This window comes from Homo sapiens, chromosome 1 (assembly GCF_000001405.40).
Source record: "Homo sapiens chromosome 1, GRCh38.p14 Primary Assembly".
Taxonomy (NCBI): Eukaryota; Metazoa; Chordata; class Mammalia; order Primates; family Hominidae; genus Homo; species Homo sapiens.
In genome coordinates, this window is record NC_000001.11 from 3454401 (window position 1) to 3481300 (window position 26900).

General features: G+C 63.1%; 1 protein-coding gene across 6 annotated transcripts, besides 3 other annotated features; it reads left to right on the plus strand.

Annotated features, from left to right (window-relative positions):
* The first annotated feature begins 264 nt into the window (after window positions 1–264).
* On the plus strand, window positions 265–26713 carry ARHGEF16 (Rho guanine nucleotide exchange factor 16). 6 transcript variants are annotated; one of them, XM_017001051.2, is made up of 15 exons: window positions 265–428; window positions 8666–9272; window positions 11748–11793; window positions 12768–12937; window positions 14480–14536; window positions 15033–15193; window positions 18678–18830; window positions 18993–19122; window positions 20308–20382; window positions 21570–21662; window positions 23475–23626; window positions 24024–24212; window positions 25117–25190; window positions 25412–25513; window positions 26048–26713. In XM_017001051.2, exons 2-15 carry the CDS (start codon window positions 8685–8687, stop codon window positions 26185–26187), a joined length of 2130 nt encoding a protein of 709 aa, XP_016856540.1. In that variant the 5' UTR covers window positions 265–428; window positions 8666–8684; the 3' UTR covers window positions 26188–26713. The 6 variants fall into 6 exon arrangements, with proteins under 6 accessions (XP_016856540.1, NP_055263.2, XP_016856538.1 ...); NM_014448.4 differs by having other exon boundaries at window positions 265–411; XM_017001049.2 differs by lacking the exon at window positions 265–428 and adding an exon at window positions 3036–5131.
* Window positions 2861–3612: an enhancer, noted in NCBI's record as "H3K4me1 hESC enhancer chr1:3373825-3374576 (GRCh37/hg19 assembly coordinates)". NCBI's record gives its function as "activates a minimal SCP1, AML or CMV promoter by ChIP-STARR-seq in primed H9 embryonic stem cells {active_cell/tissue: H9 hESC(primed)}" and the evidence as "EXISTENCE:reporter gene assay evidence [ECO:0000049][PMID:30033119]".
* Window positions 4132–4301: an enhancer, noted in NCBI's record as "experimental_7120 CRE fragment used in MPRA reporter constructs". NCBI's record gives its function as "activates a minimal promoter by MPRAs in K562 erythroleukemia cells, with activity observed for both the introgressed and non-introgressed 1:3375181 variant alleles {active_cell/tissue: K562}" and the evidence as "EXISTENCE:reporter gene assay evidence [ECO:0000049][PMID:34662402]".
* Window positions 17167–17792: an enhancer, noted in NCBI's record as "NANOG-H3K27ac-H3K4me1 hESC enhancer chr1:3388131-3388756 (GRCh37/hg19 assembly coordinates)". NCBI's record gives its function as "activates a minimal SCP1, AML or CMV promoter by ChIP-STARR-seq in naive H9 embryonic stem cells {active_cell/tissue: H9 hESC(naive)}" and the evidence as "EXISTENCE:reporter gene assay evidence [ECO:0000049][PMID:30033119]".
* Window positions 26714–26900: the final 187 nt, after the last annotated feature.

A 26900-nucleotide genomic window follows, 5' to 3' on the forward strand; every position in this document is an offset into this window, starting at 1 on the left:
TCGAGGGGGCGTGGGCGCGGGGAGGGAAGGCGCAGGCACCGGGCGGCGGCGGCTCGGCGGGAATCGAGAGGCGCGATCCAGTCCGGGCGATCACGTGGGCTCCAGCCGGCCCAGGTGGGGCTGTGACCTGTGACGCAGGCGGCGCCGCCACAGGTGCCCGGGACGCGCCCCGCCCCCTCCCCGGCCCTCCCCGCCCGGGCCCTCGGACCCGGAGCAGCCCCGCCCGCCCAGCGCCCACCTGCGGGGCCGCAGCCGCCGCCCTCCAGCCAGACCGCGCAGGAAGCGGAGGAGGCGCCCCGGGCCGGACCGCGCTGCCGCAGGAGCGAAGCGGCTGCAGGACAGGACAGGACCCGGCGCTGGAAGCTGCACCGCCAGCGCGCCGCCCCTCCGTCCCTCCGCCCCGCGGCGCAGGTGAGCCTGGGGGACAGGTGAGCCGGGGGACAGGTGAGTCGGGGCTCGGGGGAGCCGGGTGGGGGGATTAGCCCGGGGGAGGCGCCGGGAACCCGGGGCGCTTCTCCTCCCCCTCGCTTTTCCCGCAAGCCCCGCCCCGGCAGCCGCAACAACTTCGCGACCCTCCTGGGGCTCCGCCGGGGCGGGAGAGGCGGGGCTCGCGGGCTGAGCCGGATGCGACTTTGGACCCGCCCCCCCACACACACCAGGCAGCCCCCTGCTTGCCCCCGCCCGCTCGCTCGCTGCCCTCTCTTGACCCCGAGTGGCCGCTTCCTCTTCCTAAAGGAAAACTTCCATGCAACCGGAACCTGGGTTCAGACTTGAGCGCCGAGGACTCTGGAAGCCCCAGGGAGTTTGAAAGAGCATGGGGTGGGGGGCGGAACAGAACGACCCTCCCGGGAGCTCTTTGGGGAATCTGACACCCAAACCTGCTTTGGCCCCAAAATTTCAGAAAAGCCCCGAGAAGGAAGAACCCCACACCCAAGACAAACCCAAACCATACGCCCCTCCCCCACCCTTGACCTTGGTGGGCGGTGGCAGGGAGGGACCTGCTTTGTCTCCCCTGAGAAGGGAGATGGGGAGGGGGAGGGGTGCGTCCCACCTACCAGGGAGCCGTGGCCGCTTGTCTTGGCCGCTCAGCCTCTTTCTGCGTCTGTGAAATGGGAACAGTATCCCTTTTGAGATTTGAGCAGGTGGGGGGACTGAGGGAGTGGCAGCGATGGCAGGTCTTGGTGACCTCTGCTTCTGACCTGAATCAAGGCCTGAATCTTCTCTGTGTCCTTGAGGGGAACAGTCTGTGCACCACCTAACATGGGGGCCTAGGGGGTGCGTGTGGGCCTGGCTGGGGGTCCAGCAAGAGGGTCCAGGTGCTGTGCCTGGCTGCAGGTCCTGACCCCTCCGTGGCATAGTTCCCAGGTGTGTGGGTTTCAGGCTCACATCCTGGCTCTTTGTGAACTAAGCAGCTCTTGGGGCCTCGGTTTCCTCATCCGTAAAATGGGACTAGTAGGAGTGTTGAGTTAGAAGATGTTGACCCACAAGTGTGCCAGGCAGACGTGGACCCTGCTGTGCGATGCCCACAGCCAGCAGAGGGGAACAGGGTGAGATGAAAGGTACTGTCCAGAGCAGGAGCCATGGGCTGAAGGTAGGCACTCCTCACCCACCCCAGTCTTGCTGGAAGGGAGGTGTCTTGGGGGCTTCCTGGAAGAAGTAAGTCACCTGGACCAAAGTCACCTGGAGGGTGGGATGGGCCCTCCCTCCACCTGGACACTGGGGAGAAACCCTTGTTGGGGGGCCTCCCTGAGGTCGCTGGCTCTTCGGGGGCCATCTCTGACCCACAGGACCACCCTATGTGGGAAGCACTTTCCACCTACACATGAGGAAACTGAGGCACAGAGGTGAAGCAGTGAGAAGCGGCGTGCCAGGGTCCCCACAGCTCACATGTGACGCGCAGGTCCCCATCCTGAGGATGGCCATCTGTGTTCACGTTGTGATCCAGGCGCAGGCGCTCCCCGCGAGTTTGGGTCTGAGTTTTAGTTTTGGTTTCCAGATGGATCTGGGCTGCTCCTGTCCTTAGCACAGGGGACCATCCGTCTGGAGCAGCGTCCTTATTTCTAGTGACTCCCTGGCTGAGGCCAGAACCCCCACTCCCCCCGGTCCCCATTTGGGGACAGCCATCCAGGTCAGGACAGGGCCTGGCCAGCAGTCCCACCCCCGCAGGCCACATTCCCTCTGCACCTGGTTTCCTTACCTGCCCGGGAAAATACCCACCTTCCAGAAGTTTGGGGAGGGGCAGAAGACAGTGGATGACAGGGCATTCAGAGGGCACTGTCTGTGTGTCTGTCCTACAGCGGGTGAACGGGTGGCAGGAGACCTGTCACCCACACGGGCACCTGTCAGAGGCAGGCTCTGATTCCCACCCTTTGGGGGAACCCCGTGAGTGGCAGCAGAGCCAGGGACAGCAGCTGGGTTTATGGGATGTCTCATTCAGAGCCGGAGCTGGGGAGTGACTGGAATGCACTTTGGGCTGAACCAGCTATGTCCAGGTGGGAGGGCCAGGTGCACTTCCCCGCCCCCACCGCGCAGGGTGGCTCTCTGCTTAGCTGCCTAGGATTTCCCTACCGCAGCCCTAGGGACCTTGATCCAGATAACAGGTCTCTCCAGCAGCCTTGCCAACCAGTAGCCAGGACTCCTGACTACCAGCAGTGTCCCCAGACGTTGGCAAATGTGCCCTGGGGGCCAAAACTGCCCCAGTGAAGGCCGCAGAGCCAAATCCCTGGCCACCTTGCAAACGGAGCTGGCTGATGTGTGCTGCATGATTTGCAAAAGCAAGTCCTCCCCCCGATTATGTGACTGAGTCCGAAGTTTGACGGGCAGAATTACCGGAGTACAAGGGCATCATTGTAGCTTGAGTTTGCCTTCACTGAGGTTGGATGGACAGGTGCTAGAGAGGCCGCGCCCCACTGGGCCGAGTGGGGTCAGCCGGACCTAGAGGCCAGGGTAGGAGGGACAGAAATGCCTGAGGGTGGGACCACATGAAGCTGGAGGCCTGTGCAACATCCTAACCGGAGGGGCAGCAAACTTGGGGCAATTGGGTCCTGGTGGCCGTGACAGCAGCTGTGCCCAGAGCCCAAGGCGCTGGCTGGGAGATTGTACTGCTATGGGGATGCTGGAGGCACGGGGCTGGCGCCCACTAGACTCACTAGAAGCCCATCTCTCCGGAAGGATAAGGGGGCAGGAGGGCGGGGCTACAGAGCGGCCCACCCAACCAACACTGGGTCCGAGATCCAGCAGATCAGCCAAGGCCAAGTACGGACAGGAACGGACAGGCTGGGCAGGGGGCCCTGAGACTGGCCAGCGACCACAGATTCCACCTGCTTGGACCGGCCAGGCGGGGGCCCCTGAGACTGCCCAGAGACCATGGATTCCGCCTGCTCGCCTCTGCTGCACGCCTCCTCCTGGCAAGTCCCTCATGCCCCATAACTATATGTGTTGGGGATACCAGGTGGGGTATTTAGTGGTAAAGAGAAAAGAGAGAGTTCTGGGCCCCAGGGCTCAGCCATGGGAGGTCCTTTCCAGCCCACCCTGAGGAGAAGCAGCAGGAAGTCGCCCAAAAAGTGGCACAGATGGGCCCAGAACCTCTATGGGGCTGCCCTGGCCCAGCCTCTGCTCATTTTGAGCCAAGTCCCCTTGCAAGTTGGTTCTTGGCACGGAACACCAGGGCCTCTCTGGGAAGACACAGAATCAAGGTACTAGGAGACCAGGGCAGAGCACGTGCCGAGGCAGGCATTTGCTCTTCAGTGTGGAATCTGAGCCCGACTGTGGGGACACGAACAGGAAACTGTCCCTGCCCCGCAAGGGCTCACAGACATGGGGAGACAGGACAGCCAGCCAGCCAGCCTGCGGCTCCCTCTGCCCTGTGCATGCCCTGTGCTAAGCCCCCACTCAGCAAGTCAGGGCTGCCTTTGCTGGGGAGCAGATCTGCCACTGGCCCACGTGGCTGCTGCAGGAAATCTGACCTCTCTCTGTGGCACTGCAGCCGGGACAGCATGGCCAGCTGCTGAAAGGAGTCTGCCCTCTCAGCCCCTCCCCTTCACTGGCTCCACCAGGAGCCGACCAGCATCTCAGTGAGGAAATGGAAAGAGGCCACTGTAGAAACCAGCCGGCCTGCAGGACAGGCTTCAGGATATGGACCTGGCATGGGGCTGGGGGTCCCATTGGGCCCTCCCGGTCAGACACCTGTGCTCAGGGTGTGTGCACTTGGACCTCCCGCCATCATAAGGCCTGTCTCCTCAATAGAAGCAGAAACAATCAACCACCAGCAGCAGATGTTTGAGGAAAGCCCTGTGCCTGAGAGACAGAGGCCAGCAGAGGCGGAGACAGGAGGAAGTATGTGGCAGGGGCGCAGCTCCAGCAGCCAGCGACAGAAAGAAAGAAACTCGCTCCAAAGAAAATGTAATCCTTCCTCTCTAAGACAATAGAAGATGTTACACCCATAAAGCAAGAGCAGGATGCCAGGAATGAAGAGCAGAGGGCTCTTTGAGGATAATGAAAATGATAAGACCAGGGGCCAATAAGAAGTCCAAGTAGAGAAAACCTCACACAGAGAACAAAGTAGGGGAGGAAAGGTAAGGAATTAGGAGAAAACACCAGAGCTTAATACTCATTAGTGGGTATTCCAAAAAGAGAAAACAGAGTGGAAGAAATAATATGAAAATCTGCGCAGCCCTAGACAAGAGTGACCGCCTGGCAGGGTTCCACCCAGTGCCTGGCTCAGTGGACTAACATGGACCCTACGGGGGCACATCAGCACGACAATCAGAGCTCCCAGGCTGGCTCAGTGAACGAACACGGACCCTACCGAGGCACATCAGCAAGACAGCCAGAGCTCCCAGGCTCCAGCAGGTGCGCCAGACCCTCAGTGGGGCCAGGGAGAACCACACACCGGTTGTGATCCGAGAAAGAGATCGGGACATTGGGGCCCTTCCCCAGCAACTCTGACAACAAGGGAAGGGCGCTGCCCGACTCTGGGAGAAAACCATCTACAGTGGGAATGCTCATCTCCTCACCAGTCAGGGGAGAGGAAGAAACAAGACATTTTCAGGCAGTCCAAAAGATGGCTCCCATGTGGCTTCCTGGGACAGTGCCTGGGGATGTCCTTCAGGGCAATGAGGGCCGGGAGCAGGTGAGAGGGGCCCCGGAAGCAGCAGAGGAGGTCCTGGGATCCGCCCAGGGTGAGGCCCAGAGCACTGGGCCCTCTGGAGAGGGAGGACGGGGGGTGTCTGGGAAAAACACTGAGCTGGCCTGCCAGACATATAGAATATATTCTCAAGAAGCACATGGCAGAGACGCCAGAACACTCAGGGAAAAATTAACTGGGGAAACCAGGCTGGTCAAATGAGAGAAAATCATTAACAGGACGTGGACAAGGCCCTGCCCTGGGGCTCAGCGCCTTCTGCCGGCACAGGCATCGTGTGATGGGGCCAGCCGTGATGGAGTCCTCGTCCAACAGGCAGGGAGGGGGTAGGAATGCCCATAGGTGGGGGTCACTGAGAGCAGGCTGTGCCTTTTTCTGGGAAAAGCTGAGGAGCCCAGAGCAGTGGCCTCCGGGGATCAGGGCAGTGTGGAAGAGGGGACGCTGGGTTTTCATGCTAAGTCTTTGGTGCTCGTTGACTTTTGAAACGGTGTCTGTGTCTTCATAGTTCTTTAGAAAAACTGAAAAACAGAAGGCAACGGGTGCCTGCCAGGGCCACAGCTCCCGAGAGCCGGCTCCTGGGGGGCTCTGGACTGCCCACACCCCTCAGGCTCTCTGTTAGGCCTGTGGGTGCGGCTGCCTCGCTGGGAGCGGAGGTCACACCCAGCAATGGCTCAGGCTCTGGCTCGCCTGACAGGTTCCCGTTTGGGCGCCTTCTGGCAGTGGAGCAGACTTTGATCTCTCCTGGGACAGCTGCTGCCAGCCAGGGCCAGGACACCGTCTCAGAGGACGTGGTCAGGGACAGTCAGGCCTGGGCAGTCTGGCCCCATTAGGAAGGAGGAAGGCCTCTATGAGAGTCAGAAGGTTGAGACAGTGCAGGCTGGGGTCTCTGTATTTGGGGGCTGTGGGGTCTTGGGGACATTTGTTTGGTGGGAGATGGGGCACAGTGATGTTGTGGGCATGTCAACCCACATCAAATGCCCCCCAGGTAAAGTCATCACATTTAGAATAAAAGGACCGCAGGGCCGTAGACCGCCTACGCTGGCCACCCACTGGAGTGTGCTCTGCTTGGCGTGTAGACAGAAGCCTAAAAGAAATGGATTTCTCGGCCGGGCCTGGGTAAAACGCAGACACCCTACTGTGAGCGGGTGATCCTGGGATGGTGCAGACCAGCGTCACTCTGGTCAGTGTCATGGACACCAGCCCCGGGGGAGGCCTGTTGTGTCTGCCGCTGTCCTTGACCAGTGATTTGGAATGTCCTGAGGAATGTACCCTCCCGGCCAGCGTGGGGGCCGTCCCTCCCTGGGGCCTGGGAGGCTCAGCCGCACGTGCCTTCCTGGGATGGTTTTAGCAGAGAATTTGTGTCCTGGGAGAGTTTGGTGGCTCCCGGGGCTGAGCAGGGACAGAGGGGTGTCCCAGGTGCCCTGTGGACACTCCAAAGGTGCTAATCCAGGTCAGTTGTGTGGCTGACTGTAGGCAACCTCCCTGCAGGAAGTGACTTTGGGCGAGTGACTCAGCCTTGTTTTCCCATCAGAAAAATCAGTTTCCACCCGCAAGAGACTCCGGTCATTTTCATGTGTGTGACGTTCTGGGTGTATAGGAGGCATACTGAGTGGTGGTGGTTATTGTTTTTATCTTTATTTTTTAAAAGGGAAAGAATGAAAGCAGCGAGTTTTCTCCATGTCGTTACCTTTTGAACCTACGAAGCTCCCTGAGCATAGGGAGCATGAGCTTGTCTGTGATTCGGCAAGGCCTTGGTCACTGCGGCGCAGACGCAGGCCTCACACCGGCCAGGCCTGTTACACGCTTTGCACGCTTTACACTTCCCACCGTACCTTCAGGAGGTGGGCCTTGCTCTTATCATGCCCATTTTGCAGATTTTGAAACTGAGGCACGGAGAGGCAGCGTCACTTGCTCATTGACCACATGCCTGGGTCAGGGCTGCTCCCTGACACGTGTGGGGAGCCCCTGAGCAGCAGAGGGGAAAGCTGGGAGGCCTGAGAGACCAGACCCTCGGAATCCATTGCTCAGTGGCCTGAGGGTTGCAAGTGCCCAGGGGGGTTGCAAGCAGCCCGGGGCGTGAAAGCTCACTGTGGGCCTGACCGCTGTGGCCGAGCAATGCGCCGTCACTCAGGAGGTGATGTGTAGCCACAACAGCCCCGCAAAGTGCCTGGAAACAGACCTCTGGGCCCGGCTCCTGGAGGCCGTGTCGGCTGGGGGCTCTGCACATCTCGGTCACACGGGGTCCAGGCCATTGAGGCTCTGCCTGGCCACGCGTGCCTATAGTCATGGCAGCCAGGGAAGACGCAGAGGCAGGTCGAGAGCTGGCTCTCCACATTCCTACCTGGCAGGCACGTATGTCCCAAAGCCAGTCTCAGGACTGTGCCATTCCCAAGGGGCAGAAGGGCAGCCCTGCCTCGGGTCTGGAAGGAGGAAAGTGAGAAATGGGAAGCAGTAGTGTCAGGGGCAGGGTGCCAGCCCCGGACCATGAAGGGAACAGTGGGGTAGAGATGGGCTCGGGGGCACGCGCTGCCAGGAGGGGCGGGCAGGAGTGTGGCGGGGGCGGGGCAGCCCACGGGGTGTGGGGATCGGGCTACAGAGATGTCTACAGGGCAGCTCCCGCTCTCTGCTGGGGGGTGTACGTGGGACTGTGGGCTGCCACCCCTGCCACCACCACACCTGCCCAGTGGCCAGGTGTCATACTGGACTCTCGGGCTGGTGACTGGTGGGGCTCCTGAGACCAGAATTGTCAGCTTTATGCCCAGTTCAGAAACGTGGAAAAATGCAAGCGTGTTGCCTGGTGTGTGGAAAGGTTCCATGGACAGTCCGCGACAGTCATATCACTGTGTGGCTAAGAGAGGGGAATCACACAGGCCTGGGCTCGGGCCGGGAGCATGTGGGCAAATGCACCTGCCCTCCCCCCAACCCAGCAGAGCCTGGCTCAGGTGCCTGGAAGACCCCAATGAGGCAGAGGCTGTGGTCACTGCCGCTGTGGCTGATGCCGGCCTCAGGAAGCCCCCCAGTGCAACGCCATGACCCTTGCGTTCACCACGAGGAAGTGGTTCCAGGAGGCTGCATGGCTGCCAGGTGTGAGCCAGGATTCCAGGCCAGGTCTTCAGGGCTCCAGGGCCATGCACCTGAGCTGCCCCACCTGCCTCCAGGCTCAGGAATGTGTCCTCAGTGCGTGCTGCCCATCAGAGGAAGCAGTGTGGCCTCCCAACCTCCAAGGTCCAGCCTACCCCCATAGGCTGTGCCCACCTGGTCCCTTGGAGCTCGGAGAACCAGCGCCTGCCCAGTCCCATCCTGTGTCCAGCCTCCGGCCTCAGACATGGCTGGCTCCCAGTGGTCAGGACTGGCTGTGCCACTGATCCACTGTGCTCCTGGCTGCGTCGCTGTCCTTGCCTGCTGTGTCCTGGGAGCTGTACTGGAGCCCCGGCCAGACATATGCAAAGGGGTAGGGGGGTGGACACCCGCGGGGGCAGGGGAGAGCAGCCTCACGAGACCTCACTTCTGCCCTTCCCCCAGGACCCCACAGCCGCCCAGCATGGCCCAGCGGCACTCAGACAGCTCCTTGGAGGAGAAGCTCCTGGGACACCGCTTCCACTCGGAGCTCCGGCTCGATGCCGGGGGGAACCCAGCCTCCGGGCTCCCAATGGTCCGTGGCTCCCCGCGTGTTAGAGACGATGCCGCCTTCCAGCCCCAGGTCCCGGCACCCCCACAGCCTCGGCCCCCGGGGCACGAGGAGCCATGGCCCATCGTCCTGAGCACAGAGAGCCCGGCGGCCCTCAAGCTGGGCACCCAACAGCTGATCCCTAAGAGCCTGGCTGTGGCCAGCAAGGCAAAGACCCCAGCCCGCCACCAGAGCTTCGGGGCGGCTGTACTTAGCAGGGAGGCCGCCCGGCGGGACCCTAAGCTCCTCCCAGCCCCCAGCTTCTCCCTGGATGACATGGACGTGGACAAGGACCCCGGGGGCATGCTGAGGCGGAACCTGCGGAACCAATCCTACCGGGCGGCCATGAAGGGCCTGGGGAAGCCAGGTGGCCAGGGAGATGCCATCCAGCTAAGCCCTAAGCTCCAGGCTCTGGCTGAGGAACCCAGCCAGCCTCATACTCGGAGCCCGGCCAAAAACAAGGTAGGGGCCTGCTCGTGTGGACCGTGGGGAGGGGGCTGCTAGGCAGAGGGGCGGCCTGGCCGTCTCCACCACCGTCATCTTCTGCATCATGGCAGCTGCCGTTAGTAAGCACCTGCTGCATGAGGGCTCTCGACTGGTTTATTCCAGTTCAGCCCAGTCTGTGAGTGTGAAGATCCCACCTTACAGATGAGGCAGCAGAGGCTCGGAAAGGTCGAGGGTTCTACCGAGGCCCCCAGACTCTGGTGTCCCCGCTCCCAGCCTTGGTGGAGGGCAGATCCCTGGAAGGGCCCAGTCCCTGTTTCCGAGCTCTGGACAGGAGCCGGCCTGCCTGGATGATAGGGTTCAGGGTGACCTGGCTGCAGTGACTGGCCTGGGCTCCATCTGCCCCGGCAGCTCCAGACAGGGACTCAGGCGGGAGGGACTGAAGCGGGGCAGCTGTGCGGTGGCCTGGGGCTTAGGAGAAGTCTGCACATTCCCTCTGTACACAGAGCCCTGCTTCCCTGCCTGCTGGTGGTGGCTCTAGGTCTGGGGCATGGTGGCGGCAGACCCTTTGCTGGGCAGGGTGTAGCCTGACTGCATGTGTCACTAGGGCCCAGGGGACAGAGCGTCCAGCTGGGGCTCCTGGGCCCAGTGTCCCTCATCCTCGGAGTCACCATCCCCTGCGGCTGGGGGCCAGGCCTTCATTTCAGGCAGCCCTGGAGCTGGAAGCCACGTTCAGGGAGAGTTGCGTGGTACCTGGACACCCACCCAGCCAGGACTGCGACTCTGGCCACCCTGCTTGGTCTCTTTAGCTGGTGGGTCTGGGCTCAGGCAGGGCTGGGGTAGGGGAGGCGAGCTGCCCTGGAACCGCCCATCAGGAGGCCCTGGCAGCCCGAGCACCCTCAAGAATGCAGAGCAGATGCAGGGCTGGCCCCAGGGGCGTCCTTCTTGTTGGGCGCCTTGCTCAGACGTGTTGGAAAACAGGCCCCAAGCATATGGGCTGCCTCAGTGAAGGACGAGGGCGGGGGCAGGTGCTGTGTGACCCAGATGAGTTCCTGAACCTTCCTGAGCCTTGGCTTCCCCATGTGGAAGCAAAGATCACAGCCGCCCTCTGGGCATCCTCTGGGCAGTGTCCACGGAAGGTGTGTGCCAGAGCGTCTTCTTCACTGGTTGCCGTCCCAGCTGCCTCCTCAGGCCCAGCTCCTGCCCAGACTGGGAGTGGCAGTGCCAGCCTCAGGAGACGCCAAGACCACCTGTCAGAATGTCCCATGGGCGTCCACTGCAGGCCGATGGTGGCTGAGGTGGGGTCCCCCATGTCCCCAGCACCAGCCACTGTCCTCGGTCACAGCTCTCTCTTGTGCCTACCTGAGACGCCCAGGACTCAGAAATGCCTCAGCACCTCTGCCGCAGGCCCCTGCACCCCAGCAGCTGGAAGGGCCCCAGCACTCTCTACACCCACCAGGCCCAGGCCCATGGGGCTCCGTTCATTCATTCACTGTTTATTTCATGCAGTCAGCAGACACTTCTGGGCACCTGCCACATGCTTGGTGCTGGGGTTCCAAAGTGAGCCCACGGGCATGGGCCTGGTTCTCAGAGGGCCTCCAGCGCAGGGAGAATGCCGAGGGCTGGGCTGAGGGCAGCTCGGGGGTGCTGGGAGCACAGAGGAGGGGGCTCCCCATGGCCTCGGGTCAGGGTAGGGTCCCGGAGGAAGGAGGGTTAGCGCAGAGGCAGACAGGAGGAGAGGACGGAGTCGGGGTGGGGGAGGCAACAGCTCCAGCCAGACCTGGAGGCCGAAGGGGGGCTGGGGGAGTCCTTGAGGTGGGGTGCGGGGCACGGGGCTGAGGGTGCCAGGCCAGGTACAGCTGGGAGCACCACACACTCCCAACCAGTAAGGGGAGTTTACAGGCCCCAACTCGTTCCGAGAAATCAGCCCCTTTCCTTCCGGGAACCAGCATACCTGTGGCGTCAGGAAAGTGTGGTGTCCCAGCCGAGGAGGGTGGGCTCCGAGTCGGGCACCTGAGCGTGGGGGCTTCCCAGGAGCCCAGCCCTCCCGTCACTTCTGCCATCCCGGCCTCCTGCTGGGGCCCCCAGACCCATGCTTGGGGCTGGACACTGGCCAATCCTTGCTCGTCTGTCCCACCAGGTCCTAGTCCCCAGGGGCCTGTGTCCTGCCCCACTGTCCCTTCACAGCCCTCTCCCAACCTCACCTGCCCTGCCACGGGCCTGCTCGAAACTCTTCTGAGCGTCCCCTCACGATGAGTTCAACCCTTCCTCCTCCTCCAAGCAGCCCTCAGTCACGTGTCCTGCCTGCTCTGAGCCCTCCTCCCACCTCTCTTGGCCTCTGCTTGGCGGCCGTGAGGCCCTGTGGAGCTGACATCTATTGGGCACAGCTTCGCATGTGGAGCCGAGAGGTCTCTGGGGTCCCAGGGCAGAATCGCCGTGGGCAACACCTGCCCCGGCTGACAGCTGCGGTTTCTGTGTCTCTCTTTTGTGCAGAAGACGCTGGGGAGGAAACGTGGGCACAAGGGTTCCTTCAAGGACGGTGAGTGTGGCTTCGGGAGGCACCGCGGGCTGGGCTCCAGTTGAAACTGGTCTCACTGGGGCACCCTGGGGTTCGGGTGGGCCTCAGTTTGGTGTCTCGGGGTCACCAAAGCTGCTTGACAGGGTCCTTCCAGAGGCTGAGGTCCCAGTGGCTGGTCTGTTCATGTAGCCCTGATGAGTCTAGAAAGGTCTAGAAAGTTCCCTTGGACTCTATTCTGTGTGTTCTGAAGGGCAGGGTACAGACAGAGCCCCCAGTCTTGCCCTGAACACCCCATGTGTGTGCTGGGCCCAGCCTACAGTGGCCGTGTTGGGGGACCAAGGCCAGATCAGAGGGCACCGGCCCCACACCGCGGGCTCTGCCCGGACTCTTCGAGGCTGAAGGGGAGCCATGTGTTGGGGCCTCCAGCATGGGTGGCGGTGGTGCACACTCAGCCTGCTCGGGGGAGATGAGAACATCCCACAGGGAGGTTGACATAGGGAGGTGCCTGCTACCTGGGTCCAAATGCCCGGGGGTGTAAAGAGATTAGAGGCAATGAAGCCCGGGGAGGGCTAAGGCCTCGAGTGCCCAGCTCCAGGCCTGAGGCTCCAAGACACAATGGCCCCTTCCAGCCCCCAGAAGCTTTGTGGACAGGCATGGGCCCAGGAGGGGGTACCCAGGTCTCCTCTACGGAAATCCCTGGGAAGTGTCCCCAGGAGGCAGCAGCGATGCCCCACGTCTCAGGGTAAGGCTGGTTGGGGGCTGCTGTGAGGGTTTGGAGGCACCCTGAGCCGGGACCAGCCCATTTCAGGTGGGACTTGTGGCATAGGAGAGGTCTTGGGACTGGTGCCCAGCCTGGGGCAGTCCCCTCCCAAAGCCTCCCTCTCCCACACAGCCGTGAGAGCCTGTGGGCCTAGAGGACTCAGCTGGCGGGTTGCAGGGAGGCGCAGCCTTTTGCAATCCCCCAGGGCCACAGGTTACCCTCCTTCTCTCTCTAGACCCCCAGCTCTACCAGGAGATCCAGGAGCGGGGCCTGAACACCAGCCAGGAGTCTGATGACGACATCCTCGATGAGTCCTCCAGCCCCGAGGGAACCCAGAAGGTGGACGCCACCATTGTGGTCAAGAGCTACCGGCCCGCCCAGGTCACCTGGAGCCAGCTCCCAGAGGTAGCGCCGGAGGGTGGGTGAGGCTGCCCCACAGAGGCAGGGAGAAGCCACAGTCCCCCTGCTGTTCCTTCCCCAAGCCCAGGCGGCTGGTCCCCAGCAGCAGCCCAGTCCTCCCAGGGAGGGTGGGCAGCCTTCCCAGAAGCCCCTCGGCTGTGGGTGGCAGACCTGGGGGTCTCCCTCCTGTGCCCTCAGAGTCACCCTGCCCATGCAGGGCCCTGCCGTCGTGCGTGCGAGGGCCAGCCCTGCTCAGACTACCCTTCAGGGAGCTGCGGGCGCCAGGAGTCCCTTCCCAGGGCCCCCGCCCCAGGAGAGGGCTGAATGATCTGCGTAGGGAGACAGCTGGGATGGGAGGGGCCGGGACTTGGAGCTGGGGCCAGGGCCAAGACACTCCTTCACTTTCCATATCTGAAATTGGGGGCCCGTCCCTGCCCTGCAGGGGTCTCAGTGGAGAGCGTGGCCCGGCATTGGTCCCCATGCTTGGGGGAGATGGCTGCTCCTACCCCAGGTGGACCGGCATGTGACCCGCACCCTGAGGCCCAAGGGAGGGGACCATGTGGCCGTGGGCGTGGCGGGCAGCGGGGAGGGCGGGCCCCCACCTGTGGTACAATGGGGCTCCTTGTTCGCCATTCAGAGGGGCTGGCACTGCAACCACCCACCACACACCATGGTGCTGCGTACCCTGGGACCCCGGCCAGGGCAGGCCCAGCGTGGGGTGAGGGCAGGCAGCGGGCAGCCTCCCCACAGATAGAAAGGCCTAGAAGTGCAGTCTTACTCTCCTGCTGGGAGCTGGGGGCGTGTGGTCTCCCTCTGTCGGGGATGGAGTCCAGTACCGCACCCTGGTAACTGCCAGAGTTTCCGACCCTGCATGGGAAGGAGGCACTGGTTTGGGGAATGGGGGACTCACCCTTGGCCCAGGCGCTGTTGGCGGCCTTTCTGCCCAGCCCAGTGAGGAGCAGAGCACGAATCAGGGTGGCCTGAGTCCTGCAGAGGGGACCCCTGGGCGGTGTGGCAGCCCTCCTGGTCCTGACGTGCTCTACCAATCGAGCCACACTCCCGCCAAGGCGACCCGCCAGCTGTGGGCCCCGAGGAGGAGGGAGCCCGGGCGGAAACAGCGTCACCCATAGCTTCCAGGCAGGGCACTGACTCGCCTCGCCCAGGTGGGGTCTGAGTCACAGTCCTGCCCTCCACACTCCCTCCCTGGGTGGGCTCCGCACCTCTCCATCTGCCGGGAAGATCTGTGGGACAAGATCCCCCCCCGCCCTCTGGCCTCTCCCTCTGGATGCCCCATGCTCTTTCTGGGCTGCTTTGGGGCTCTGGCGGCTGGGGGGAGCGGGGGGCTGACCCAAGGCGGGTTACACAGAGAGGAAGGTGACGGGGATAGGCCCTCGGCAGGACAGGCCTACTCCAGGATCGGACCTACCTGAGCCCTGTGGGGTGGCTGTCCATGTTGGCCCTGGTCCATCAGGAGGAGGAAAGAAGGGAGACTTTGGCCCAGGCTTCTAGGACGTGTGACCGAGAGCTCCTGGGCCTGTGTCCCCCCAGGTGGTGGAATTGGGCATCCTGGACCAGCTCTCCACTGAGGAGCGGAAAAGGCAGGAGGTAAAAGGGCCCTGGGCGGGAGGGCTGTCCCCCATGGCCTGGGCCATGCAACACCCGGGGAGGGGCAGCAGCCACGGTGGCACCACCCAGCCATCCCTCTGCGGCCACCTCCAGTGCCAGGCCCTGTCACGCTGACCAGCGCCTCACACAGCCCCGGGCTGTGCTTCCACCTGCGCCAGGCCCTGACGGAGCCCCTTCACGTCACCGGGTGAATCCTCGGAGTCCAGGGGCTGCCATCACCCCCTTCTCTGACAAGGACGGGGGTCGTTGCCCAGCTTCAGCCGGCTCATAAGGCACCCAGCCAGGGGCATCCAGGGACGTCGGGCTGGCATCTCCAAGCTGGCCATTCTGACAGCCCCATCCAGGGGTGTGTCTGGGGTTCCTGTCCCCACCTGCCCCTGCCACCCGGGTCACGTCCTCCTGTTCCAAGCATTGGTCACCGAGGCACGCCCGTGTCCAGCGTCACTGTGGGGCTCACCTAGGCCCCTCTCCACAGGCCATGTTCGAGATCCTCACGTCGGAGTTCTCCTACCAGCACAGCCTGAGCATCCTGGTGGAGGAGTTCCTGCAGTCCAAGGAGCTGCGGGCGACCGTGACCCAGATGGAGCACCACCACCTCTTCTCCAACATCCTGGATGTCCTGGGTGCCAGTCAGAGGTGAGGCCACGCCACAGCCTTCCACACAGGGTCCTCTGCCAGGAAGGTGCCTCCCCCCGTGGGCACCGCACTGTCATCAGCAGGCCCCTGGGAGCCTGCGCTGCACCTTGATGTGGATGGTTTAGAGCAGCTGCTGGCTCCCGCGGAGTGTGATGACCTCTGAGGGTCCTTGAGGCCACCAAGAGCTGGCCCCAGGGCCGGGCTAAGCACTGGGGCTGTGGCATCCTGGTCGTTCTTAAGACGTGGAGCACTTCCCAGGGGTACAACCCTGCCCCACTGCCAAGCACCACCCCACCAGGACGTCCAGGCACAGAGGGCTGCATGATCCAGGCAGTGGTGGCCACAAGCTGCTCACCTGTAGGCAGGAAGCCTCGAGTTGCAGCTCTGGGTCATGTTCCACCCAAAGGTGTCTGGTGGCTGGACCTGAGCTCTGGTTGCAGGGCCTGGAGGTAGAGAGGCTGGACATGCAGCTGCAGCCATGCACGGGGGTATGTGCGTGGGGTGGGGTGGGGTGTGTGTGCGTGGGTGTGTGTGTGGGGTGGGGTGTCTGTGCATGGCTGTGTGTGCATGGTCAGTGGTGTGTGTGAGTGGGCTGGCCCCGAGGCCTGGAGGGTGGCTCGGGAGCATCCAGCACCCTGGTGTGTATGCATGGGTGTGTGGGGGCAGGGGTGTGTATGCATGGGCAAGGGTGTGTATGCATGGGCAGGGGTGTCTGCACGGGTGTGTCTGCACGGGTGTGTGTGGACAGGGTTGTGTGTGCGTGGGCAGGTATGTGTGTGTGTAGGTGTGCATGGGTTTGTGTGCCTGGGCAGCAGTGTGTGTGCATGGGTGTGGGGCAGGGGTGTGTATGCATGGTTGTGTGTGCGCGGGTGTGTGCATGGATGTGTGTGCATGGACGGGTGTGTGCACAGGCAGGGATGTGTGTGCGTGGGCAGGGGTGTGTATGCGTGGTCAGGGTTATGTGTGAGTGGGTAGGGGTGTGTGTGAGTGGCTGTGTTTTCGGTCAGGTGTGTGTGAGTGGGTGTGTGTGCGTGGGCAGGGATGTCTGTGTATCTGCGTGGTCAGGGATGTATGTGAGTAGGTGTGTGTGCGTGGGCAAGGGTGTCTGTGCATGGCTGTGTGTGCGTGGTCAGGGGTGTGTGTGAGTGGGCTGGCCCCAAGGCCCGGAGGGTGGCTCGGGAGCATCCGGCACCCTGGTGTGTATGCATGGGTGTATGTGCATGGATGTGTGTGTGGGCAGGGGTGTGTGTGCGTGGACAGGTGTGTGTGCGTGGGCAGGGGTGTATGTGCGTGGGTGTGTGTGCCTGGCCAGGGGTATGTGTGTGGGCAGGGGTGTGTGTGCATGGGCAGGGGTGTGCGTGGGTGTGTGTGCCTGGCCAGGGGTGTGTGTGCGTGGGCAGGGGTGTGCGTGGGTGTGTGTACCTGGCCAGGGGTGTGTGTGCGTGGGCAGGGATGTGTGTGTGCATGGACAGGTATGTGTGCATGGGCAGGGGTGTGTGTGCGTGGGTGTGTGTGCCTGGGCAGGGGTGTGTGTGCGTGGGTGTGTGTGCCTGGGCAGGGGTATGTGTGGTCTCGACCCTGTGCTGCTCCCTATATGCAGGAGGACCCCGGAGCATCGAGTCTCCTGAGCCTCAGCCTCAATGCTAACCTGAGGGGCGGTGCCTCTGGTCCCCTCGTGGGCTTGGGTGGCGCTGGGAGATGATTAGGGGCCTGTAGTGCCTGGCACAGGGCTGCCCCAACAGTGGTGGTTGCTGGCGCATTCTTATATCAGCCCCGCCCCTGGCGAGTCCCACCCATCTGCTGCCTGTGGGGTGCCCTTGCGGAACTTTGGGGCCCTGAGGGTGGGCAGGGAGCCGCCTTGTCCCTGGAGACAGGGGCTTCCTGTAGAGCTCCAGGGACCAGCTATGGGAAACTCCCAACCTCTGACTCAGCATGGGATGGGGCTGGGGGAGGGGGAGGGGTCTGGGATAGCGGCTGCCCCTCCCCCAGCTCTGCCCCCAGCCAGGCAGGCTTTGTGTTCTCTGAGCTCTGTGTCCTCCGGTCCCCTCTGCCTCAGGCAGCTGCATGTTTGCCTCTGACCTCCTCAGGGCTTTAGATTGCTGCCCTGGGGCGGGAAGCTCCGGCCTCCTCCCCCAGCTGGGCCCCCGACAGCTCCTGGCATTCACAGTGAACTGTCTGGGGAATCATCGCTATTTGGGGTAAGCGGCTGGTGGGCGGCTCTCCCAGACCTTTCTCAGAACCTGCAGTCACCCATATGAGCTGCTGACCGGCCTGGCCGGCCTGGGCACGTACGCATGTCGTGGCCCTGCTCATCCAGCAACCGAGGCCTCCCATGACCTGCTGGGTCCTCGTCCACGGGGACTGCAGCTCCATCTGCTGGGGATTCTCAAGGGCAAGCAGCTGTCAGGACACTCTCCCTGCAGGAAGCGTGGCTCCTGCGTGGGTGGCAGGCCCAGTCGGGCCCCGTGAGCAGAGGAGGAGGGACTCCCGCCCACCTCCACGCTGGGTAAGGGAGTCCTCCGAAGGACAGAGCTCTTGGGCTGGGAGGACCTCCTGTGGCGGCGGCCTGGAGACACGGATGTGGTCTCGGGTTGGGTGCTCTGAGGGTCTGCAGGATGGACGAGGCTCCAGCCACCGCCTCACACAGCAGGTGACCATCGTGGGTCCAGCCAAGCCCAGCCTTGGTGGCCGTGGCCGCCCATGGGGGCAGAATCCTGGCAGCCCTGGCCTAGCTCTGACCAAGTGTTAACTCCCTTCATCCTGATCACCCTGGACCAAGGCCTGGGTCATGGGGAGGTGAGGGGCTGGTAGCCCCTTCCAGGGAGTCTGCCAAGAGCCCACAGCTGGCCCCCCCCCGGCCTTGACTGTTCCCTCAGAACGGGGTGGGGGACCTAGTGAAAGTAAACAGTTCATGAACCCAGCTGGGAGCTTGACCAGCAGAGCTGCCTCGGATTTGGGACTCATCCTTGGAAGGGGTGGCCCCAGGCATCGCCCCTCTTTGCTCTTGTGCCTGTCCCCTGAGTCTCCGTCCTTGAGTTTCTTCCCAGGGGCAAGCTGGTGCGGCAGCGGGGGCCCGGGCCTGTGTGGAGGCCCAGTCGTTTTAGCTGGAAGGAGCTTGAAGGGCGAAGGGCACCAACTGGACAGGGCACCAGGACAGGAGGTCCAAATGGGCCCGCCTTTGGGGACAGTCCCTGGGGCTGCCCCTGGACAACAGAGGGACGGCACCAGTGCGTGGGATCGTGGCAGGGGGCTCTGTAAGGAGCCCCAGGCCTCTGACCACTTCCCACCCGCCCTCCCTGCTGTCCAGCATCCCAGGTCCGGGTCCCGCCCCAAGTGCTTGCTGTGTGCTGCCTCTGGGAGCTGAGCTCAGCTCCTGCCACGTCCATGTATGTGTGAGTGTGCATGCAGATGCATGTCTGTGTGTGCACACGTGGGGCCCGACCACCAGGCCCGTGGCACCCTCCTCACCCCTCCTTGCCTTCAGGTTCTTCGAGGACCTGGAGCAGCGGCACAAGGCCCAGGTGCTGGTCGAGGACATCAGTGACATCCTGGAGGAGCACGCTGAGAAGCACTTCCACCCCTACATCGCCTACTGCTCCAACGAGGTCTACCAACAGCGCACGCTGCAGAAGCTGATGTGAGTGGGCGGCCCCGAGGCCCGCAGGGTGGCTCAGGAGCATCCTGCACCCTGGTCTCCCAAAGCACATTCCTGCTCCCAGCCCAGCTTCTGCAGGTCCTGCCTGATTTTGGTACAGGCTGGCCATGCAGAGCCTGGAAGGACAGCCTTGTCCTCTTGCAGAAGCAGCAACGCCGCCTTCCGAGAGGCCCTGAGAGAGATTGAGAGGCGGCCGGCGTGCGGGGGCCTGCCCATGCTCTCCTTCCTGATCCTCCCCATGCAGCGGGTGACCCGGCTGCCCCTCCTGATGGATGTAAGTCCACGGCCTGAGGGTGGGGCCGGGCATACCATCCTGGGGTCCCACGGCCAGAGCCCTGCCCCGGATGGAGCATTACGTGCTTGTGACCTTCTCCTCCAGGCTTGGCCTATGATATTGTAATAGTTACGATCCTAAGATGGCTTTATTAACCAGGATAACTTTGTGGTCGCCGCCACCCACAGAGCTCACTGTGCCGGGAACTGTTCCAGCCCTTGGCGGATTTGTGTTCACTTACTCAATGGTTCATGAGGTTCAGGCACACTGACGAGTTGGAACTGGCATCACCCAGAGCCCTGCTGAGCCTCCTCCCAGCCCCCACCCCACCAGTCCTCCTAGACGTGGTAGCCCTGTCCCTGGCACCTACTCTCCCTGTTCTGTGGACGCAGAGAGGGGCTCAGAGAGGCTCACCAGCATGGGCTGTGTGTGTGGGATGCCAGCCCACAGGGCAGAGGGTATATGAGGGTGAAAGGTGTACACACACACGCACACATGTATATACAGTGTACACGCACTCAGGCACGTATGTGCCCATGTGCACACAATGCATATGTATGGATGCACGCCAGTACACACATGCATGCACACTTGCACACACTGCATTGCACCGATGCATGCACATGTGCACACAATGCACACGTTTGCATACATGCACACACAGGCACTGCACACACATGCACCCGGTGCACACACATACACGTGGATGCACACACATGCATGCACATGGTGCACAGGCATATTCACACATGTGCATGCTGCCCATACACACAGCCCCGCACATGGCAGGACTGAGCTAAGCTTCCTGAGGCTACACATGGCAGGGTTGCCCAAGCCAAACAGAACCTCAAACTCCTGGGGGCCCCAGGGATGTGCAGAAATGGGGCTGCCAGGGGGCCTCCACTGACGATTCCCCAAGTTGGATGGAGATGGCCGAGGATGGGAAGGGAAGGGTTCCAGGCAGGGGTGCTAGCTCCTGTTCCCACTCAACCTGGCCTGACCTGGCAGAGCTCCAGGTGGTGCAGAGGCCGTTCAGGGGCTGTACGTGCTGTGGGGCCCTGCAGGAGCCCCCTGGGGGCAGCTGTTGACCACCCTGCAGCCCCACACGGGGTCTGGCGTTGGTGGGAGCCTCCACACCTGGGATGCCAGAGGGGACTTTCTGTCCCATGTCTGTTGTCCATCCAGACGCTCTGCCTCAAGACCCAGGGCCACTCCGAAAGGTACAAGGCTGCCAGCCGTGCACTGAAGGCCATCAGCAAGGTAAGATGGGGCCTGGCCCCAGCCCTACCCGAGTCCTGTACCCCGACCCTGTCCCCACCCAACCCCACCCTACCCGATGGCATAGGGCTGGCTTCCCCTACCTTCCAGGGCAGCGAGTGTTCTCAGATTATCCATCCCAAGCCTTTCACAGCGCTGACAGGGAAACTGAGGCCCAGAGGTTCCCAGATTATCCATCCCAAGCCTTTCACAGCGCTGACAGGGAAACTGAGGCCCAGAGGTTCCCAGATTATCCATCCCAAGCCTTTCACAGCGCTGACAGGGAAACTGAGGCCCAGAGGTTCCCAGATTATCCATCCCAGGCCTTTCACGGCGCTGACAGGGAAACTGAGGCCCAGAGGTTCCCAGATTATCCATCCCAGGCCTTTCACGGCGCTGACAGGGAAACTGAGGCCCAGAGGTTCCCAGATTATCCATCCCAGGCCTTTCACGGCGCTGACAGGGAAACTGAGGCCCAGAGGTTCCCAGATTATCCATCCCAGGCCTTTCACGGCGCTGACAGGGAAACTGAGGCCCAGAGGTTCCCAGATTATCCATCCCAGGCCTTTCACGGCGCTGACAGGGAAACTGAGGCCCAGAGGTTCCCAGATTATCCATCCCAGGCCTTTCACAGCGCTGACAGGGAAACTGAGGCCCAGAGGTTCCCAGATTATCCATCCCAGGCCTTTCACAGCGCTGACAGGGAAACTGAGGCCCAGAGGTTCCCAGATTATCCATCCCAGGCCTTTCACAGCGCTGACAGGGAAACTGAGGCCCAGAGGTTCCCAGATTATCCATCCCAGGCCTTTCACAGCGCTGACAGGGAAACTGAGGCCCAGAGGTTCCCAGATTATCCATCCCAGGCCTTTCACAGCGCTGACAGGGAAACTGAGGCCCAGAGGTTCCCAGATTATCCATCCCAGGCCTTTCACAGCGCTGACAGGGAAACTGAGGCCCAGAGGTTCCCAGATTATCCATCCCAAGCCTTTCACAGTGCTGACAGGGAAACTGAGGCCTAGAGCCAGTGGAGCTCTCACACAGTTGATGAGCCCGTGGCACGGCTGGTCCAGGGCAGGCACTGTGGGCAGCCAGAGGCTGGCTGGGCAGGTGTCCTGGGCACACTGTGGGCCGTGTGGGCTGTGCCAGGGCCCTGTAGCACCAGCCTCTCACACGGGAACCATGCCCTGCAGCTGGTGAGGCAGTGCAACGAGGGGGCCCACAGGATGGAGCGCATGGAGCAGATGTACACGCTGCACACACAGCTGGACTTCAGCAAGGTCAAGGTAGGTGGCCCCGGACATCAGGGCCACTCGGACCACTTCCCACTCAGCCCTCCCTGCTGGCCTGCGTGTGAGGTCACACCCCTGAGCCTGAGGGCTGGAGAGTGGGTGCCTGCCCTCATGAGGCCTGGGGGCTGGGCCTCCTAGGGCTGGTGGCTCTGGTCTCTCCAGGCCTCAGTCTCCCGATCTGGGAGCGCCCCTTGTGGACCCCTCCCCTAATCCCACTGGGTGGGCCTCTGTGGCCCTTGCCCCATCCCCAGGACTGCACCGGCAAAGGGTAGACCCTAGGCCCTGAGTGACCAAGCCCAGGGGGCAACAGGAGTGGCCCTGTCAGTGCACTTGCCTGGGGCCAGCGCTCCTTGCTGGCCCCTCAGGGGCTGGGCAGGGCCTGAGGACAGAGCGGAGGGGACAGGGTGATTTCAGGGCCAGCCCAGATTCCATGTTTCCCAGTGAGGCTTGGATTCTGGGTAGGGTGAAATATTTCCAGCCCAGGCCCGGGCAGCCCTAGTCCCTGCCACAAACGGGCAGGGCTCATACCTCTCCCTCCAGAGCCCCCCACCCACGATCCCACACACTGGCCGCATCCTCTGTTGTCCTGGGACAGCCCAGGGCCCCTCCCCTAAGGCGGGCCCAGGTGGGTCTCCTGTCCTGGTGCCCCATCCAGGGGGTGTCCTTCAGGGTGGAGCAAGAAGTGGGTGACAGGCCACCAGCCACCCTCACTCAGGGCCACGGACAACCAAGTAAGGGTGCGGGGTCCCAGCTGGGGGAGGGGGCTCCCGGGGTGGGTCAGGGCGGGCTGCCTGGGGCAGGCGTCAGGGCGGTGACTTCGCGCCGCTGTCGCTGAGCCCACACCCGTGCAGCCCTCACGCTTGTCTCCCTGATCCTCTCGAGTCTGGGGTGTAACGCCTGCCCCTGCCAGAGCAAGGACCCCCTCCCAGGCCTGGTCCACCCCTGAGTGGGGCTCTCACCCCCACATGGTCTTGAAGTTGGTCTTGGAAACGGGTGTGGGGGTGGGGAGAACAGGCCCATCCAGGAGGGAGGGTGGTGGCAGAGGCCGGGAGCGGGAGGTGCCGGGGGCTCTGAGTCTGTAGTGGGCACAGGTGGGGAAGCCGGGGCCCACAGGGAGCAGGTGAGGAGGTGTCAACAGTCGCTGAGGAGCGGGAGCTGGTGGGCAGGCTCCTCATTCCCACTCTGCCCTCCCCCCCACCCTGTACTGCCACCCCCTACTGCGACACCCATCCCCGTCACCCCCACACTACCCACCCCATCACCCCCACACTGCCCACCCTCTGGCCTTTGCCATCCTTCTGCCCCCCACTGACTCCAGCAACTCAGCACCAGGCAGCAGGGAGGATGTTCTGTGGCTCAGGAGCCAGGAAAGGCCCCAGACGTGGAGCGTGGCCATCACGGGTGGGCCTGCCCCTGCCAACCCTCCCTCGGGGCTGAGCAGGTCCTTGTGCCTAGGAGGCCCAGCGTCTGCGTAATTGCCACGGAGGGGTGAGGTGTGTGTGGAGGCTTCCCCAGCACTGGCCTTCGAGTCCTGGCTTGGGTGAAATGTTCAGTGGTCACCCAGCCCTGGGCTATCGGGCAGGGTCTGGTCCGGCCTGGCGCACCTCGATTTGAGGCCCGGACACATTGTGCCCCTTTCCTCTGTCCAGCCCCGACTGAGGGCAGCCAGCTGGTCACCCAGTCCAGAGGCAGGAGTCAGTCCCACCTGGTGCTATGCGTCCTTGACCCCCTGGGGACCTGCTCACCCCGGCTCTGTCCCCCCCAGTCCCTCGCACTGATCTCCGCCTCCCGGCTCTGTCCCCCCAGTCCCTCCCACTGATCTCTGCCTCCCGGTGGCTGCTGAAGCGCGGAGAGCTGTTCTTAGTGGAAGAAACCGGACTTTTTCGAAAAATTGCCAGCCGGCCAACGTGCTACCTTTTCCTGTTCAACGATGTCCTGGTTGTGACCAAGAAGAAGAGGTGGCCTTAGGGCAGGAGGGTGTGGGGAGCCCCACTCCATGGACACTGGACCGCTGGCCCTGGGGCAGGAGGGTACAGGGAGTTGGCCCTGAGCCCCTCTGACCTCAGAGCCGAGGCGCGGCTTCCACTCGGCACATGCTCTACGTGACACTCGGGGGCAGGTGGCGCTCGCTGTGCAGCCTCTGACCTCCTCTGCAGACCTGGGTCTGCCGGTGATAGCCACGAGGAGGACTCGAAAGCCATGGCCTCTGTTCTGTGGGACGCGGGAACTCTTGGAGCCCGTCCGTGGCTGCCTCCCCACCACTGCAGGGGAGCCGGGTGGGACCTGGACGGGAGCCCAGCAGCACTGGGTAGGAGCTGGGTGGGACCGTCCCACCGACTGCCCGTGTCTCCACAGCGAGGAGAGCTACATGGTCCAGGACTACGCCCAGATGAACCACATCCAGGTGGAGAAGATAGAGCCGTCTGAGCTCCCTCTGCCCGGGGGCGGCAACCGTAGCTCCTCCGTGCCCCACCCCTTCCAGGTGACCCTGCTTCGCAACAGCGAGGGCCGCCAGGAGCAGCTCCTGCTCTCCTCGGACTCCGCGTAAGTGGGCTCCCGGGAGGGCTGTTCCCAGGCCACAGGCACATTAGCTCCATGGGGACCGGGTTGTCCCCCTGCCTTGCTCGCTGTTGCATGGCTGGCTCTGAACGCCCACCGTGCACCTGGCCCTGCTGTAGGTGCTGAGGTAGAGCCAGAAACAACAGAAATGGCCTTGTCCTCATGGAGTTTATGTTCCCGGGAGGGGACGCACCAACAGTTGGGCCACCAGGAGTGGGAACAAGGGAGGAAACGAGGTGGGGGGTGGGGTGCGGGGGGTGCCGTGAGGAAAGCTTAGCCCATGTGAGCAGAGGGAGGTGGGGCCGGAGTGTGGGGTTGCTCAGCAGAGGCCCCGAGGCAGGAGAGCCCTGAGGCCCCGAGGGCACAGCTGCAGGTGGACAGCAGTGATGCTGGGGTGCAGCGACCCTGGCCGGTAGGGGCCAGTTCAGACAGCAGGGTGGTCCTGGCACTCAGAATGGGAGGGGGCACTGATGGAGTCTCTGCGGGCCCCCCGTGGAAGCCAGGCACACAGGTGCGCCAGTCTCCATATTCCCTCTCAGCTCGTCTTGACTGAGGACAGCTCTGGGCCGTTTCCAGATGAGGATGCTGAGGCTGAGTCTGTCACAGCAAACGGAGGGGGCAGGGAGCTGGGGCCCAGTGCCAGGAAACGGGGTGGCCTCAGGTCCAGCAGGCTGGGGTCTGGGTGTGTGGCCACTACCCAACTCTGTGACCTGGGGCTGGGGTGACTTGGGGGTTAGCCTGCCTGGCACAGTCTGCCCAGCCACTCCTGCCCACCCCCACCACCCCCATCTCCTTGCCACGGCCCCCATGGGTGGCTGTCAGAAGTCAAGGAACATCAGACGGGCAGGATCGGTCTCCAGGCCTGGCTCATGCTGTCTCTGGTCCCCAGGAGTGACCGGGCACGGTGGATCGTGGCGCTCACACACAGTGAGAGACAGTGGCAGGGCCTCTCCAGCAAAGGAGGTGAGTGCGGGCTGGGGCCTGCAGGGCTGGCCCTCTGCCGTGGCTGGCACTTTGGCCCCCACTGTAGCCCAAGTGAGCCTGGCACCTGGCCTTGTGCTGGGGCCTGGCAGTCGGGGGATGGGGTGCCCCGGCCCCGGGGGATGTGTCTGCTGGAGGCCGTTGGGGAGTGGAGCCTGGCCCATGCCTCCCGACAGCCCTGTGATGGCCACTGCCCTATGCAGACCTGCCCCAGGTGGAGATCACCAAGGCCTTCTTCGCGAAGCAAGCAGACGAGGTCACACTGCAGCAGGCGGACGTGGTCCTGGTTCTGCAGCAGGAGGATGGTGAGTGCAGGGGCGTTGGGCACAGATGGGTGGGAACGGACAGGCGGGCGTGAGTCAGCGTCCAGCCTGGCCAGGTCCAGAGCATGCCGGGCTGCAGGCTGACCATGTGCTCACCCTCTCTCGAGGGCTTCCTCAAAGGGAGCACTCCCACATCCCCAAACCTCAGAATCAAAAGCAGGTTCATGGTCACTGTGTCCCACGTGGGGAGGAGGAGGTGTCTCTGCCCTCCCAGGGGATCCCCGCTCAGCCAGGCCCAGCACGAGCCTGCAGAGGGCAGGCAGGGCTCCTCCTCATGCCGGGCAGCGCTGTGTGGGGTGTGCTCAGCCCAGCACCCTTCTCAGTGGCGAGCACCTGAGCAGGGGCTGGGTGCCCGGTGACCATGAGCAAGGCCTCAGCAGCTGTCTGCTCTGAGCAGGAGCAGGTGGTCAGTTCTAGGAGAAGCCTGGCCCTGGTGTGCTCAGGCATAGCAGCTCAGAGGGGCCGGGGGACCCACGGCCTTCCCCTCACCTCCCTCCCACCCCTATCCGGGTTCAGGGTGGCTCTATGGCGAGAGGCTCCGGGACGGAGAGACGGGATGGTTCCCCGAGGACTTTGCCCGCTTCATCACCAGCCGTGTGGCCGTGGAGGGCAATGTCCGCAGGATGGAGCGTCTGCGGGTGGAGACGGACGTGTAGCCCTGGCGAGGCCAGCCGGCGGCAGCACAGCCTGTCTCCAATCAGCAAGTGGTCGTGCCTGGCTCTAGAGAGCGTGGGGAGCTGGTCTCAAGGACCCAGCATGGTTCCCTGGGGCTTCCCAAGAGCCTGTGGCTGTGGTGCCGGGCTCCAGACACTTCACGGAAGGAAGATCACATGTCCCCAGAGAGGCACCCCCAGGCAAGCTCGAGGGGGCCACACCGTGTCCCAGGGAGCCCAGCCTATTCCCGTTGGCTGGCTGGGCCCCTCAGCTGCTGGGCCCCACCTCCCCACTGCACCCAGGGGGCAACTCCACCTGGACTGATGGGCACAGGAGGCACCAATAGCGATTATTGGGGGCAATGCGAGGTCTCCTCCTATGCCCTTCCTACCCCTGAGTGGGACAAGAAGGGCCCTGAGTGCCCAGGAGTGCCCCACGTTCTGAGAAGGGGCCGGCCGGAGGGAGGGGACCCGGCAGGGAGATTTCGGTTTTGAGGTTTCTAAATACATTAAAGTTATTTCTTAAGAACCTGGATTTTCACAGTGACTCTGAGCCCAGGCAAAGACCGTGGCCACACATTTTCCAGGGACATACTCAGGATGCCGCGGGCCGGCACCAGGCCCCCTGTGCATGGCCCCCTTGTGTTGGGTGCCGTGTCATGTGTGGTCGCCCCAAGCTCGCCCCTGGTGTGGCCAGTCTGCCCACCGGCTGGAGC

Excerpts from the sequence above, each read along its gene's own strand:
- ARHGEF16 (XM_017001049.2), top strand. The coding sequence starts at position 5,100 with ATGTCCTTCAGGGCAATGAGGGCCGGGAGCAG. Across the intron at positions 24,213-25,116 it reads CTGCTCTCCTCGGACTCCGC|GAGTGACCGGGCACGGTGGA; the intron begins GTAAGTGGGCTC and ends TCTGGTCCCCAG. Across the intron at positions 25,514-26,047 it reads GGTTCTGCAGCAGGAGGATG|GGTGGCTCTATGGCGAGAGG; the intron begins GTGAGTGCAGGG and ends ATCCGGGTTCAG.